The 16,699-nt window shown below is 45.8% G+C and overlaps 1 protein-coding gene across 10 annotated transcripts in view; it reads right to left on the minus strand.

The window, feature by feature from the left end:
* The window catches only part of CYRIA (CYFIP related Rac1 interactor A), a 116,376-nt gene that overhangs the window by 60,607 nt on the left and 39,070 nt on the right, over positions 1–16,699 (minus strand). For 2 of the 10 annotated variants that reach the window (NM_030797.4, XM_047445945.1), the window contains exon 2: positions 13,799–13,954. The gene's annotated coding sequence lies outside the window, so the exon portion shown is untranslated. Of the gene's footprint in view, positions 1–5,698; positions 7,105–12,873; positions 13,073–13,798; positions 13,955–14,133; positions 14,152–15,662; positions 15,705–16,699 lie in introns of those variants that run through there. The other 8 variants (XM_047445942.1, XM_024453166.2, XM_047445943.1 and 5 more) reach the window with 8 other exon arrangements.

Consider the following 16,699-nt stretch of genomic DNA (forward strand, 5'->3'; position numbering starts at 1 on the left):
TTACTGCTTACTTAGTAAGATGAATAATAATAATAACTTCCACAGACTGTGCATATATTCTGTGCTAGGCATTGTGCTAAATACATATAGTGTCATCTTTAATGCCAAAAGCAAACTCAAGATTCTGTGCTACTACCATCTCCCTTTTAGAAACGAGAACACTGAAGCAAGTGAGTAACTTGCCTAGGGTAACTCAGTTAATCACCAGCAGAACTGGAATTTAAACACAGCCCATCATACCAGAAAACTCACAGTCTAAGCCACTATGTTATTTTGTCGAATACTCCTGCACTATTATTAGATGTTTTTGGGAAACAGAAAATGGCTTAAGACATGGCCTGTGGCCTCTGGTCAGGGCAAGAGGGCTGTGGAAACTCATAGCAAATTGTGTCTCATTTCTAATTAACTTATTAGCACATGGTTTGGCATTAGGTTGCCTGAATACATTTTTGTGAATTGTTGACATTCTCATTGTATAAAATCCTAGAATGCTGGAACAGGGAGAAGTGTCCCTGATCCAGCCCAGTGGCCCAGTCCTGTTCAGGTACAGATGATAAAGTTGAGACTCAAAAATCCCAAGGCTTCGGCAGCCTATGTGTACTGCCCCATGTAGTTGGAACACATGATAAACTTCTGTAAAGTTCCTAGAAATTACAAGCATAACCAAAATTTCTGTAGAGTTGGCAAAACTGTATAGGCTCTGCTTAGTTACCTAACTACCCACATTTCACTTCCCATTTTATTCAATTCTGCTGATCCTCCCTCTATCCATCACCCCTCATCATCCTTGGCACTTGCCTCAAAAATAGGATTGACTTCTTTTAGTCCCAACATATATATATATATATATATATATATATATATATATATATCCTGTATATCTTGCATATATTTCTATCAAAAATGTAATATTTACACCTATCTGTTGAACTTCTTGAGGACAGGTGTTAATCATCAATCCATCCCCTGTATCTAGCACAGTTCTTAATACAGCATTGAAATCTGGTGACTAGGCCGGGGGCCGTGGCTCACGCCTGTAATCCCAGCACTTTGGGAGGCTGAGGCGGGCAGATCACAAGGTTAAGAGATCAAGACCATCCTTCACAACATGGTGAAACCCTGTCTCTACTAAAAATACAAAAAAAAAAAAATAGCTGGGTGTGGTGGCATGTGCCTGTAGTCCCAGCTACTTGGGAGGCTGAGGCAGGAGAATTGCCTGAACCCAGGAGGTGGAGGTTGCAGTGAGCCGAGATTGCACCACTGCACTCCAGCCTGGTGACAGAGAGAGACGCCATCTCAAAAAATAAATAAATAAATCTGGTAACCAGTCAAAGAAATAAATACATGAGCATTGCTCTTTTTAGAGAATAGGGCTAAATAAAACATGGCTCTTGCAGTAAGGACCAGTAAGGATGAGAATCTGCATTCAAAGACAACTATAATGGGGAGGAAGACTCTAGTGAGGACTGTGATCTGGGTAAAGGCAAAGTGTTTGGGGAAAGGAGTCTAAAAGAGGAGGTGCCTCATCTGGACTAGAATAGTCTGGGAGGGTTTCCTGCAGAAAGGGGCTGTAGCTCGAGGTGGAGGAGAGGGAGAAACTCCCAGTGAACATCCCACTGCCAAGACGCCTGTGAGGTGTGAAGAAAGGAGCCCAACGTCCTTCACTTTGGGATCTGCTGAGATCACACGTACTGGGCGGAGGGGCGGAGGTGGGGGGGTGGTGGTGGAGGTTGGACATGAGGGGTCTCTGGAGTGGCAGCTGTCACAGGGTTGGCTTTAAGATCTGTGAAAGCCAAGCCATTGCCAGCTCCCAGTCTTCTGGTTATGTTGAAGTAGTGGGACCAGATTTCCTGGGTGGCTCTTAAGCCTGCTCTGAAAGTAGTTTCCTGCCAGGCCACGATGCCTGTCCCAGTCCTGCAGGGGGGACTCCTTGCCCTCTGCACCTTGTGCCACAGCCCCCTGTGTCCTCTCTCCCACCACATTTCCACATTCCTGGTCACTCCTGCTTACCTGCCTGTCTCTCCTCCTAGGAGGTGAAGACCCCCTGGATGGGAACTGGAACTTACTTGTGATTGAATCCACAGCAAGCCACCCAGGGAATGTGTGTGGCTGAATGCATGAAAGAATGAGTGAAGAATGATAGTGTGAAGGCCACAATCAGAATCCAAGTTCTTCCAGCCTGAGGTCCTTCCAGGCAACTACTTAGAAAGAAAGAGGGAAGGAAAGGAGGGCATGTGGATGGGAGGGGGGAAAAGGGTGAGAGGATAGGAAGAAGGAAGGAAGGAAGGAAATAAGGAAGAAAGAGAAAAGGAGGAAAAAAGAGGGTGGGATGAAGGGAGGGGAGGAATAAAAATGGTTCCACCATGGTGACACTCATTTTAATAAAGATATAGCTAAAGATCTCATGCTATGCTTGAAAGTTAAAAGAAAGATAATTTGAGTCAACAAGAAAAGTGAAATATGTCCTCAATGATGCACAAATTAACTTCTAAAAAAGACAGCAGGATTTGAGAAGAGCCTGCCACCCACTGCTAGGATGTGATGGCCAGAGACTTACTTTCATGATGACAAGCCTGCAGAACCATCTCTGCTCTGGCCTCTGAAGCAGCCAATCAGCTGCAGGAGGCTGAGCTGCGTGAGAAGTCCAACTTCAAGGATAGATGCTGCAAAATAGCAATGTCTCCCCACCAAGCGGAGGTGGATGCTCATTTTATGGAACTTCTTGATATGGTCTGACTCTGTCCCCACCCAAAATCTCATCTGGAATTGTAGGTCCCATAATCCCGACATGTCGTGGGAGGGACCTGGTGGGAGGTAATTGAATCATGGTGGCACTTCCCCCCCATACTGTTCTCATGGTAGTGAATGTGTCTCATGAGATCTGATGGTTTTATAAATGGGAGTTCCCCCGCACAAGCTTTCTTGCCTGCTACCGTGTAAGATGTGACTTTGCTCCTCATTCGTCTTCCTCCTTGACTGTGAGGCCTCCACAGCCATGTGGAACTGTGAGTCAATTAAACCTCTTTCCTTTGTAAATTACCCAGTCTTGGGTATGTCTTTCTAGCAGCGTGAGAATGAACTAGTACACTCCTTTAAGTCAAAATTCCAGCTGAAGGAATTTCGAAGAATGCTGAAGGCTGGGAGACTTCCATGCATTTTCAGGAGTGCATTTTCAGGTATTTACTGCCTCCACCTCTGGGCAGGAGAGCCAGCGGGTAGTGCTGTCCCAGGGGAGGACATGATTCTCTTCAGTCCCTTTTCATAATGCATACCTGAGCAGACACAGAGGACCCTGACACTGAAATCCCAAGGACACTCATTCCCCTGCTTTCAAAAGGCCTTCATCTAAATCAAATTCTCATGATCCGATAACTACACTAACAGCAGCCATTCGCTGAGTGTCAGCCCTGCACTCGATGCTATGCTAAGCGCTACATGCAAATGCCCTCATTTAATTCTCACAATTACCCTCCAGTAGGTTAGTTTGAAGAGTTACTATATTGTATATTTCTGCTAAATTGGAGAGCTTTTCTCTGGGCAAATGCAAGAGCTTGCAGTTAAGTACCTTATCCACTAAGGGGCATTATCATCTCACATTAAAAATACCAGACCTGGTCAGGTAGGTACCGAACACAAATGCAGAAATTTGTGAAAAAAGGACAAAGCAGAAGTATCAAGTTCAACATCCTGAATATTTTCTAAACGTGATTCCACTCATTTGTAAAAAGTGTTTAAACTCACAGTTGTAGTAGCCAACGCTTACTTAATGTAGTAACTCAATTGCTGCTTCAAGGTCATTTCAAAAGCATCTGTCTTGACCACTTTGCCAGAAAACGGGGCTATGACATTTGAGAAGGAAACGTGAATAGACTTAGCCATTTGGCTTAGTAATTATCCTCTCCAGCCCCTTCAACTAGTTTCTTAAGTCACGTTTTCCACTGAGGAAAACATCTGTGTTGTGGCTGAATCAACTTCACTCAAGTTAAGGGTAAAAAGAAAGGTTGGAATCCTACCACAAGCTTATCAGAATGAGTTTCTATAACTCATTTAAACAAAACCCCCACTTAAAATTATATTTTGAGTCAGAAAATACTCTGGAAATGGAAATGCACATAGTTGAAGACCCTCAATTCATGATCTGTACCCCCGAGCCTGCTTTTATGGACAGATGGGAGATGGACAAAGGTACAAGTTGCTCCCATGGAGGATGTCCCTGCAGGAAATCTGCAATCCACAAGAGAAGGCAGCAAAGTCCTCATGGAACTTCCCTGTTTAGATTGATAAGCCAAGACCACAATTAAACCAAACAAACAAACGCACAAAGTTTATCTCTGAATTTCTGTGTAAGCCCAGCCTGGCTCCTGATGACTCAGCGATGCTCTATCCTGATTTAAACTTTCCCCTGTCGTCGGGGTTCCCAGGCTGCTGTCTGTGGCCACACAGTCCTCTACATTCGAACGCTTTGCCTTTCACCCTCTGGAGAGCCTGCAAGCCTCCCAGACAGATCAAGCACTGTTTGGGCTATTTCTTCATTCCACTTGAAGACAGCAAATTGTGATTCCAACATGAGGTCTGAGTTGCTCCCCAGCTCATATCATCTGACAACCCAGCTCAGCTACACAAAATAATCTCAGGTCCTCTGGTACTCAGTGGAAGATGGAAAATACACTGAGACGGAGCGTAGAGACACCCGGTCACCTGCCACGTAGCAGCTGTATGGCCTTGGCAAGGTGCCACATCCCTCTCCACAGCTGCCTTTTCTTGAATGCCTACTGGATGCCAAGCTCTTTGCTGGCTCTTACTCATCTTCAAAATCTCTCTGCAGAGTAGTGCCTTTAGATAAGGAAACTGCGGCACAGCAAGATTCTGGAACTCATGAAGACCATTCCCTTCTGTGTGACTCCATTAGATGGACTGGATCAGGCTCCAAACAGGAGCCAGTAGTTCTTGTCCATAAAGGAGCTCTGGCAATGAATTCTGCATAAATTGCTTCTAACCATGAAATACAAAATGGCTTATTGTTTTTTCTTTGAGTTTTCTAGGCTCTTACTGCTCTGAGCATGGTCTGGAGACTGGCACCCACCTGGGAGCTTATTACAAATGCAGTCTCTCAAGCCCCACCTCAGAACTGCTGAACGCAAGTCTATGTTTTAATCGAATCCTCAGTGTCCTCAAGTTTGAGAACCACTGCACTTGACTAAAGATCTGAAGTCCCAGTGTCATATCCCCTTCTCTTCTGCCTCCCCCAAGTAACCAGTGGTCGTTTTAGGATTGGTCCCGAAATCCGGAGTTCCTCTCCTACTGGTTTAGTATGCATTTGGTTTTACAAGTGGGCCCCTTGATTAGTTCCACTTGCACAAATGAAAGTTTACATTGTAACCAGGGATAGGACCCACTGAGCCCCCACTGCAGGCTGGGCTTTGTACTAAGTGCTTCACATACAATATCTCAGTCCTTGAGCTGGACTAGATGGCTATGAAGTCTTCACTCTTTCTACAACCAACACTGCCTCCACTCTCCCAGCCTGTTTCTTCACCTGCAAATGAGATCACACAGAGGTAGACCCAATGATCCCTCAGATCCCTCCAAAAATAAGATTTATGAAATTTCCAAGGTTCAACTCTCCACAAAAATATCTGTTATAATAGAAAATCTAGATCGCTAAATGCAATGCAAAAGCAGAGAACAGTCAACCTACCTATTGCAGCTATTACTGAACGTTACTGTAACATTCGGTGGCTCAGTGACGAGGCAGCTGGCCTTTCTGAACCGATACCAGCAGCTCTACCACTGGGATATCCCTGGTGCAAACTGGGAGGTGCAGACAGGACACAGGGCAGGCGCCCTCCACAGGCCCAGGGTTGGCATGGCGACGCCTGGGACCATCTTCACTCCATTCTTCTCTTCTGTTTCGCTCGATTATCGCTGTGTGAGATCCTGCCCCAGAAGGACAGAGCAATCCTGAGGGTGAGGCCTGATGTCGGGGGAGAACAAGCCAGTCTTTGTCAGGTCCCTCAAGGGGACGAGGCCAGCCTGCCTCAGGCTGCACACAGAAGAGGCCTGTGCTCACTTGGCCGTAGAGTGGTGGCCTGCTCTGTCCTTCACGGTGGGAACCCGCCACTTGAACATTCTACATCTCCCTCCTCCTGACTCCAGGGCTGGGCAAAGTGGAGGGATCTGCTCCTGGGGCCTGCAGGCATTTGCACTGAAAAGGCTTCAAGTAGAACTTACTGCTCACACTAGCACCAAAAACTCTTTGTTGAACAATTCCTCTCTCCCCTTGGCTGGTTTCCCACTATCCCATTCACAATGACATCCTTCCCTACGTCACCCTTTGTCAACTCTCCAGCCTTCCCTGGCTCCCCCGGGCTCCTGCTTCCACACTGACTCCAGGCCTCTCACTCCCTCTGAGAGGACTCCTCGCTCAGAGGACCTTCCTGCCTCTGGAATCCTAAGACCTTTCCTTGGTTGTCTGAAGGGCACAGATGGTGTCACACACTAGGGATGTCTGCCGGGTGTTCATCCTGATATCCGTCAGGATGCTGGCCTCGGCTTTGCAACTCAATCATCCAGGAGATGCTTCATAAATGGTCAGCAAGTGTTTGAACCTACGTTGTATGGCAGACACTTGCTTCTAATAGAAAATTCAACCGAGGCTTTAAGTCAAAATAAAAATTGCTAACAATCACAGAGTCCTTACAGTGCCCCAGGCACTTTTCCAAATGCTTGCCTGTATTAACTCAGGTAGTGATCCCAGAACCCTTACAAGGTTGGTGCTATTAGTCTTCTCATTTTAGAGATGAGGAAACTGTCCTATGAAGAGGTTTGAAAACTTGCCCAAGAGCATCTGGCTCCAGAGCCTGGGCTCTTAACTGCAGCACTACAAAGGATTATATCAAGACCACAATTAAAGCAAATCTTACCTGAAGCCCACTCACATGTACAGTATTTGTTTTATGGGGGTCCTGAAACTAGCTACATGTGCCTCTGCAAATGTCATCAAGTTTCTAGGCTCCTTGTATTACACATTACAGCAACTGAAGACAGTTGATAGATGGCTGTTCCCCTTCTTCCTTGATTTGCAGCATAGTCAAGCCTTCGGGTCTGGAGACAGGAAAGAGCTGAGGTAAGAGAAATGAGGCCCTAAGAGGAGCACAGATGACCAAGTGGGGTCCTTAGAGGAAACACTGGCCAAGTTGGTTTCAGCAGTCACGATTCTTCATAACTCCTCTGCCAGTGTGCACCTGGCCCCAACCCCCGGACTCTGCCTACTACCGGGTCAGTGCAGTCTCCATCCTGGGGCCAGTGTGCTGCCAGCTTACAGCTCCAAACAGAGAAAGGTAGGCTTGCCATCAGGCCTAGGCCAAAACCCCCTGCCAAGCCGGTTCTCCTAGATTCCAACCCAAAGCAGGAACAAAGACAGGGTTGGAAGAAGGAGAGAGAACTGAAACCAAGGAACTGAACATTGTAGCTGTGCCAGAGCTCTCAGCACAGGGCTGGTAGCTGCCTCATTAAGGCCTGCAGCCAGGAGGGTAGGGTACACACTGAGCCCCTTTCACTCTGTGAGCCAGATCAGCTGTTGTCTGTTGAGGGCTGACAGAGGCCTTGCCTGCTACGAAGAGGTGAGAGGTAATTTATCTCCCTCCAGCGGGGCTTCCTGTTGGTGGTGATTTAAGTGCAAACTCCACACCAGGGTCCTGCCAGGCCATGTGGGATTCAACAGCCCTCAAGGACTCTTTTGGGAGTTGGGTATCTTAAAGACAAGTTCAGAGATGGAAGAAGCTGCATGATCAAGCCCAATTCCCTCATAGTTACGATGAAGGGAGGAGGGCTGACCAAGGTTAACTGGTGACTCAGTGGCAGTTTGGATTAGAATCCAAGTTAACCCCAGATATCATGGTCACTTTCTGGTTTTCTCCCTCTCTCCCTCTTTATTTATTTTTAAATCTGCATCCTTGTTGTACCAAGAAAGTGCCACAGAGGGGCAGCACTGTGGGGTTTTGAAGGAGAAAGGAACTCTTTCCAGCTGGGCTATCAAGTCAGGCTTCCTTGGCGAGGTAGTCTTTGGTGTGGATTCTGAGGACAAGGAGGACTACAGAGCCCAGGCCAGGATGAGAGTGTGCTCGAAACTGCCTCAGTGCAGGAGCAGGGGCAAGAGGATGCTGCCTCTAAAAAGAACATTGCCCCTTTCTCTCTTCACTCCCTCTTCCCAGCATCTTCTCTTTCTTTCTCTTTTTAAACAATCCTTTTGAATTTCTCCTGATATAAAAGGGAATGCTCACTCCCCCTGGGTGCAGCCAGGGTTTTGGAGAGAATGGGGTCAGAGAAAGCACTTGTTGAGGTCTACTTCTCCTTAGAGGAAGAAGAGAAGAACCCCAGGTCATATGTCTTGTCCCCAGCCCAGCCCATTAGGAAGAACAAATAGGGCCCCTAAGAACAAGAAACCAGACAGCCCTGGCTGTAAGGAGGGCAAGTGATTCTAAATGCATTTTGGTAAAGAGCATGTGACAGAGCTGCCCTTGTCTCCAAAAGACTCCATCAGAGCAAAGCACCCACCCCAAAGCCCCTCGCTGTTGAGATGTTTATGCCAACTAGAACTGAGGCATGGTTAGGTTTAGAGATGATTCTGTAAGGAGGGATGGCTGCCCAGTCTCTAGAAGTAGAACCAGCTTCCTTATAAGGTGGTGAGTTCACCATCCCTGAAAGCATGTGAGCGGACCCCCGAAGGGAAAGATGTAGCTTTCCGAGGGCTTCTAGACATATGCTGCTCTGACCTCACTGCTTGCCCGGTCCTGCATTTTGGAGTCCAGGTGAGATTCAAGTCCAAACACAATGCTTAGTTTCATAATTTCCTCCTTGGTCTGCCTGAAGCCCCATAGGCTTGTGGAGAGGGTGATACACAGCATGAACAGTGAAAGAGGGGACAATTAGACAAGAGTTTGGATCCTGATGTCCTCACAGCTGTGGGCTTTGGCCAAGCCATTTCCTCCCTGAGCTTCAGTCTCATCTTCTGTACCTGGTCCCAGGCTACCTCCTGGAGCTTGTGAACATCCAGTACCACGAAGTGCAGAGATCTTGGCACAACTGGGGAAGTGTGCAGGTGAAAGATTAAGTCTAGCCCATCCATTCATCTTGCAGCCAGCAGGGGTGATAGGAGGTCAACTGCACCATGCTCTGAGCTAGGTTCTAGAATAAATTCTACATAATGTACACATATATACATACACACATATATACCCATATATACACACACGTAGGTACATGCATATGTACATACACACGTACATAAAACCCTCTGTGTGTGTGTGCATATATAGATATATATATATATACACACACACATATACATATTCTACCCCAAGAGTTCCACCCCAAGAGTTCCAAAGGGAAGGTAGCAGGGGAAATACAGTTTTCACTTAGAAGAAGCAGACTCAGGTCTCTGTAAAGCTGCATTTTACCACCAGAGAGCTATGGTGTAATCCATGCTGTTAAATCAGCGTTTCTGGATGATGAAGATGAATTCCTCCTCCTTTCTACTTCTTTTCTTGGTCCCCTTACCCTATTCTGCTCACTAACACCTCCATAGGGTCAGAGAAAAGATCAATTCAAATTAGTCAATTTGCTTCTTTTTAGTCGCTGTTGGGAACAAAGTGGGAGGATGAGGAGGTGGCTACTAATGGATTTTTGAAAAGCAGAGTTGAGGCATTATCTGAGCATGATGAGCAGGCTGGCTATTTCCTCCTCACCCATGACAGAGAAATGAATGTTGGCCCTTATTTATAGAGTGCAGTTCTGTACCTGAGCATCTCTCTTCCAGCTCGCAACTCCTACTCATCCTTCAATGCCCAAATCATATGGCTCCTTTTGGAGCCTTCCCTGACTTTCCTGGGCAGAGAACACATTTCATCCTCTGCATCCACATCACTTTGTTCATGTCTGGGTTCTTGTCTGCCATCTGCTTCTCTGTTGGCTGCTTTTGTCTTTGTCACGTGATTAGAAACTCCTTGAGGTGCTGACCTTGTCTGATTTGTCCTGATGTTCACGGCCCAACACAGGGTGTGACCATTGGTAGATACTCAGATATTACCTGTTTAATGAGTGCGTAATTTCTAAAAGAACACTCTGACTTTAGTATTCAGTGGAGAGAGGGTTAAGGAATGGATATTACTCATTCATTTTCTGATGGGAAGAAAATGTAACAAGACCTAAATCCCATCATTTCTACTAGAATAGTTTAAGTTTTTGCCAGCCAGTTCTAAGAGAAACAAAACTTATGTTCTAACCATTTCACAGCTATCTGTGTACTAAGACTGGGCATGAAATGACAAGTTTAGCATTCACTGCAGCATCAATGGTGGGAAGGGACATTGTATGCATCTGCTACCCACAGCCATCTCATTCAGTTGATCTGTGTGAACTTATTTTACAGCCAAGGAAACTATAATCTTATAATAATATATGAAAGAGGTATAAAATAAGCATTTTAAGGAACCAGGGTTTCAAATAAAATTAGGCTCTTTGCCTCTTAAAACTCCAATCCTAATAACTCATCCATTTTTGCTTAAAAACTGTGAGCAGTTCTAAGCTGTCCTCAAAACAGACTCAAACCACTTAGCTTGGTCTGAAAAATCCCTGATTCATACCCTCACCTCCCTCTCTAAGTGAGTCCCTTGGTCTCTCAGACTCACCTCTCCACATTCCACAGTCTCAGGAGGGAGGTGAAGGTGCACAGGATTCCCCGAGGCACAGTCCTTGCCTATGTGTCTCCATCTCCCGGCCTGGAAATTCCTAACACCCTTCCCTGAAGCATCTTAACCTCCTTGCTTGGTTCCTGCCTGGCTACATCTCATCTCCAGGACTGAGTGCAGACAACCTGCTCCCAAGAAGCTTCCATGGTTCCACCCCTCAATCTGGGTCAGGGACTCCTCCTCTGAGCTCCCCAAGCACCCATTCCTAATGCAACACTGATCAAAGTGTGTTGTCTAGCCATTAGTGCGTCTCCTGGTAAAACCAGAAGCAACTCAACTGCAGGGGCTGACCTAGTCCTCATTTATACCCAGTGCCTGGTACAGCACTCACATAGAAGAGGCACTCATATATCTGCTGAATGAATGATCCTCCTTCTACCCTGAAGGCGAGAAAGACCAATAGTCTATCATGTAAGTAAATTCCAAGAGAACAGGTAAAAGTGACCTGTGGGAGGTTCCAGTGGAAAATTCCTACTCTAGCAAATTGACTCTATGATGATCAAATTAAGACAACTGTTTACATCAACCTACTTTATCGATGCAACTTCCCCAAGAAACCTTGATAGCACCAGGCCATGGAGTCCTAAGAATGGGGCCCAGACTCATTAATCTACAGAGTCCCAGTAGCTAGGGCCCAGTAAAGATTTTTGAATGAATGACTAACACTGCATTGGGAAAGAGCTCTGGGGAAGAGAAAGGAAGGGTAGAAGAATCTCCAGAAAAGCCAGCCAGAACATAAACACCCAAGTCCTTTCTGCCCTCGCTTCATTCCACAGGCTCCTCATTCCTTCTGCTCCAATCCTACTGGTCACTCGAGACTGGGTAAAGCCCAAGTGCATTCCCCGATCAGAGATTTAGTTCTGGCTCTTCCTTCTAGCCTTGCTCCCTCACTTTCTCCAGATGCTGCCCAAATAATGCCTTATCCAGAGGTGTTCCCTGGCACTGTATATAAAACAGTAATGTCCATTTCCCTCAACTCTCTAGCTCTCTGACTTAGCTTTATTTTTTTCTGCTTTATTTTTTTCATAGCACCTAATACTACCAGATGTAATACATACATGTTTGCTACTTGTTGATGATCCCTTGATCCTACTTGAATGCAAGCTCCTTGAGAACAGGAACTTGGTTTTGTTCTGTCCTGTATCCCTAGCACCAAGATAGTGCGAGCCACCCACTGCATGGTTCATGTTCCATGAACATCTACTGACTGAATGGATGACTGGGTGAATGACTGCCTTAGAAAAGCTAACAGGCAAGGAAGAAAGCCCTGAATGAGCATGTGCTTGGACCCTGACTGTCTTGCTGAGTGCCAGGCCAGGATACCGGCCCCAAATCAATTGACCCTTACTCTTGGTCTTGGATGTAGGCTAGTCTGAAGGGAAAAAGCCACCGGGAGGGAATTAGTTTTCAGCTAATACCTCATGGGACAAAGGGCTAGGAAAGTAGTAGTTCTAACTTTGGGTATGGCAGAGAAAACCTTCCAATGGCCAGGCTGGAGAGGCAATCTGGCTAAAGTCCGGGTGAGAAAAGGCTTCTATGGATGAAGAGCTCTGAAATAAAAAGGCTGTTAACAGTTTCTCTCCTTTTTAAATCGTTGGGGCTTAACAGTATTTGTGGACAAGGCCTGTCCTAGATTTTAGGCACAAGGCTCAAATGAAATCCAGATATGGGATCAAAGCTATATTCAAGTAGCTCTAAAAAAGGGTAGGTAGGGAAAGGAGCTGGTATTTGCTGAGGTCTCCTGTAACAAGAAACCATGCTCATGCGTGATCTCACTTAATCCTCAACACCAGCTTATAACATGGAGTGTACTATCCCTACCTTACAGGTGGGGAAACAGAAGCTTGGGGATTTAAAATGGTGATTTAAGCAAAATCACTGAGCCAACACAGAGCACAGCTGAGATCTGAAGTCATGTGTGTCTAAGTCGCAAAACTGTTCTCCTTCCTCTGAATTATGCTATAGCTCAGAAACCACTCTAGAGAAAGAAACCACAAGAGGAAGAAAGGAAGCAGGCATGAGATAAACATGTTCCCCAAAGAATAAGAGTCTGGCATAAGAAACAAGTCTGGGATAAGACAATCCTGGGAATGCAAAACAAGCTTTAGATATCACCTGGTCTTACCTTCTGTCCTGTGCTTAGCTTCGTGAAATGCTTCTGGTTTTAGTTTTTCAGAAAAGTCAAGGTATCTAGCTGAAAAAGAGCTTCAAGACAGGATAGCAGAAGATAACACCAAAAACTAGTGCAAGAGTGAAGATGTGTGGCCATCTCAGTGTGTTGGCATTTTTTTCATGACTCCTGACCATGATTCCTTACACTGGGCCTGCGTAAGAGAGATGTGTTAATATACCACAATCCAGGCAGCTGAACGCTTGACCAAACTTTAGTCATCTAGGAGGAATGTCAGCCTACATCAGGTGCAACTCCAATGAAGACATTCTAGTAGATGTGGCCACATTCCTTGCACATAAGAAGGAAAGGATCCATAAGTGACTGGGAGGAGGGGAGAGAGACGAGCAATAAGCAGACAGAGACATTGCGTTGGTGGTCAGGAAAGCGGGTGATGAGAATGGTTAGCTGCAGCCTGTCTGCTGTAAGCGCCCTTGGATGAAACTTCATGAACTGAATTTGTTTCTAAAGATGTTGTAGCAGGTGGGATGCAAGTCCGTTCTCTGACATGGGATCTAAATTCCATCTCAGATTGGCTACCAAAGGACCTCTCCTCCTACTGTCTAAATCTAGTTGGCTAGCATGGGCAGAAAGGAACACTAAATGATTCTGCAAGGAAAAAGGAACCTAGATCTACAGCTCGACTCTGTTCTTCCCCTGCATGTAATTCTCAGCTACCCTCTTTCATTCCTTAACCCTCAAAAGCCTCAAGATAGCACAGATCCCACTCAGAATACAGCTATAGAACCCAGAGCCTTGAACCTTTTCCTTAATAGTTTCATGTCTTTCATAACATAAGCATGCATACGACATACTTCCTGCAGTATAATGATGGTTATCAGTGTGCTACACGTTATAACGAAAGTCAATTGTTTCTTACCTGGAAATATCTCCTGTGATTCAGTTTCACCAATCCAGGCTGATGGGATGAACCAGCTTAGCTGCTGTCTGGCCAAAGTAAGTTGGACTTCCCAAATCAGGACGGTGGCCTCCTAGAGTCCTGTAGCTTTTCTGTCCTTAAGATGGTGGTACCCTGCTAAAAAGGGAATGCAAGTCATGTTACTGTGAGAAGCAATTTCCTATTCTCCACTAGTCACAATGTATTTTTTAAGGAGAGCAGAGAGTCACAAGATCACAGATTATCAGGCCTGAAGGACATCTAAGAGATAGTCTTGTCTAATTCTTTCATTTTATAATTAGGGGATTGAGGCTCACAGAAGAAAGCAGCCTCACTCAGGGACTCAGCAGTTTGGGAGTTGAATCCACATTGGAACATGTCTCTGACTCTCTGGCCTTTGACATATTTTTTAAATGCAGCCACATGGTCAGGCTGACTTCTCAAACAAGTGGTCATTGACCTTGAATGGGAAGTCTTTTTATTTTTTATTTTTTGTTTAACACATTTTGAAAAAGGGAGGTGGCACTTTTTCCAGATTGCTGTTTTTGTAGTTTCACCCCTGGGAGCTAAATTAGTAAAACAGCCCACCTCAGGCATGTGGTTGGGATGGTTCTCCCTGTTTCTCATTAGAAAAATATTGTTATAAAATACCATGACCCATGAACACAGTGACACAGTGGGGAGTGAGCACTGCTCTTCAGTGAGAAGCATATGTGGGCCCAGGTCTCTCTCTCTCTCTCTCTTTCTGTCCACGTTTCAGAGAAACACAGCAACAGACATGAACTCTTTTTCCATGAGTATCATTTATTGCAGGGTTTTTTTCCTGGCTCCTGTGCATTTGAATGGCCACTCCTTTGTGCAGAAAACCAAATCATAGAAAATAGAGGGGAGCTTTCACTTATTAAGCAAATATCTGTCAGGCATACCATGAGAATTGTATAAATATACTTTCTTATTAATTTGTCCTCAAAAAATCCCAGTGAGATACCATTAATTCCATTTTTCCAAAGAGGTAGGAAACCAATCTTTCAAGAGCTAGGATGATCTACAGAGTCAAAAAGAGATACAATGCAGAAGCAGAAATAAACTCATGTCTCCTAAATCTACTTTTTGCTATCTAAACTGAACTATATAGTTTGTTACTAGGGCAAACACTAGAGTTGTCTGTTTTTTCCAATGTTTCAGCTCAAATGCATGAGACAGTTCTTTAAAGCTGAAACTGTGGTAAGGGCATGAAAGATTATTTTTATTAGATTCTCTTTCTGATGGGGGTGGGGGATGGTGGTGGGCTTGTGGGGGAAGTAGGGGTCTAAAGTCCAAGACTTCCTGCCAGGCTCCCAGCTGGGGCTCCCAGGCCCCCAGAGGCTGGGCTGGTTCTGGCTCTCAGCAGCAGGGGCAGCAGCAAGAGGGCACCTCAGGAAGTCACAATTATCAACGCTCCCTGGCTCAAGGCTTTGTTCCTGTTCTCAGACAACAAGGGACATGCCAGGAGAGATGGGGTGGGGGTGGAGAAAGAGGAAGAAAAAACAGGAAGTGAAGTGGGGGAGGAGGGAAGGAAATGATAGAGAAAACACAGCAACTCTGAAATGTCCTTGGCTTGATGAGAAAGTGATTTCTGAGTGGACGTTAGTGGAGCTGGGCCCTGCATTTTAGGAAACCGGATTGTGATGGTAACAGGGCAGGGCAAAGACGTTTACTTCCTCCAAACTCAGGGTTGGGGTCCACAAATTCCACTTCCCACCACCAAGCACCGCCTGGCACAGGGATGTTTTCCACACCTCAGGTGTAGACATGGAAGGTGGTGAATTTCCAAAGAAGGATTCTGGGGTAAGGCCCTGTTCCTCACCTTTTGACTGTGGCTGAGGGGCCAGGCGTGTCACAAAAGGATCTGGAAACAAGAGAAAAGCTCTCAAAGTGATCAGGTATCAGGGAGAGCTATCCCATCCTCACTGCTTTTTTTTTTTTTCTCAAATGTCCTCAGAATTGAACCCATTTTCAGTGTGCATGACTGGGATGGATTCACTCAGCTGGGTTCAGCACAAATGCTGCTATTTTCCACCACAAAACCAAGAGGGTCAGTCAGGCGGAACACCGGGTTTCCTCCTGATCATCATTCTAAGACACCTCCTGCTTGTCTTCCTGTCCATTTTGTTGACTCCATTTACTTACTGAGGCTTACAGAAATTCCCCAACTCCAAATGCACATTGTAAAGAATGACAGTCACCTGGTAACTTGAACAACCACACACAGAGATGACCCTAATAATAACTTAATAACCGAATACCACTTCTACTAATGCTAATACTATTCATAGACCCCTGATGGGCACCAAGGGGTAGAGAATGCAGAGCCCGTAAGCCATCACATACTGGTTCCCCTACTCCAGCGGGCCCCCTGTACTGGCTACGCATCTAAGAAGCTCACAAAAAATACAGACCCAATCCAGAGCAGCGGTCAGGAAACTTGTACGGTTAAAAATCTTCTGAGAGGGTTTTAGTGCCACCAACTTGGCTCTGATCCATGGACTAGCATTCAGTTAACACGGACCCCCACTCAGCTCTCACCCTCACCCCACCTTCTCCCACCTTACAGATGCAACCACAAAGGCTCGCCAAGGGCAGGGGCTCACTCCAGGTCCCACAGCTAATGGCCTCCCAGGGATCTGCCCCACTACTCCAAACCAAACATAGAACAACAAAAAGTCAGCATATGTTTGAGAGGACTCCAAGCCTTCTGAAGCAATTGCTGATGGTTTACTGTGTGAGTCACCCCGGGGCCAAGTGTCCATTAGGGAGAACAGAGAGCAAGGGGGGAAAGAAACTGAAAACTCTCATCTCGCATCTCCACAGGCAGCACAACCTCACATATCACCAGCAACACCA

This window comes from Homo sapiens, chromosome 2, assembly GCF_000001405.40.
Source record: "Homo sapiens chromosome 2, GRCh38.p14 Primary Assembly".
Taxonomy (NCBI): Eukaryota; Metazoa; Chordata; class Mammalia; order Primates; family Hominidae; genus Homo; species Homo sapiens.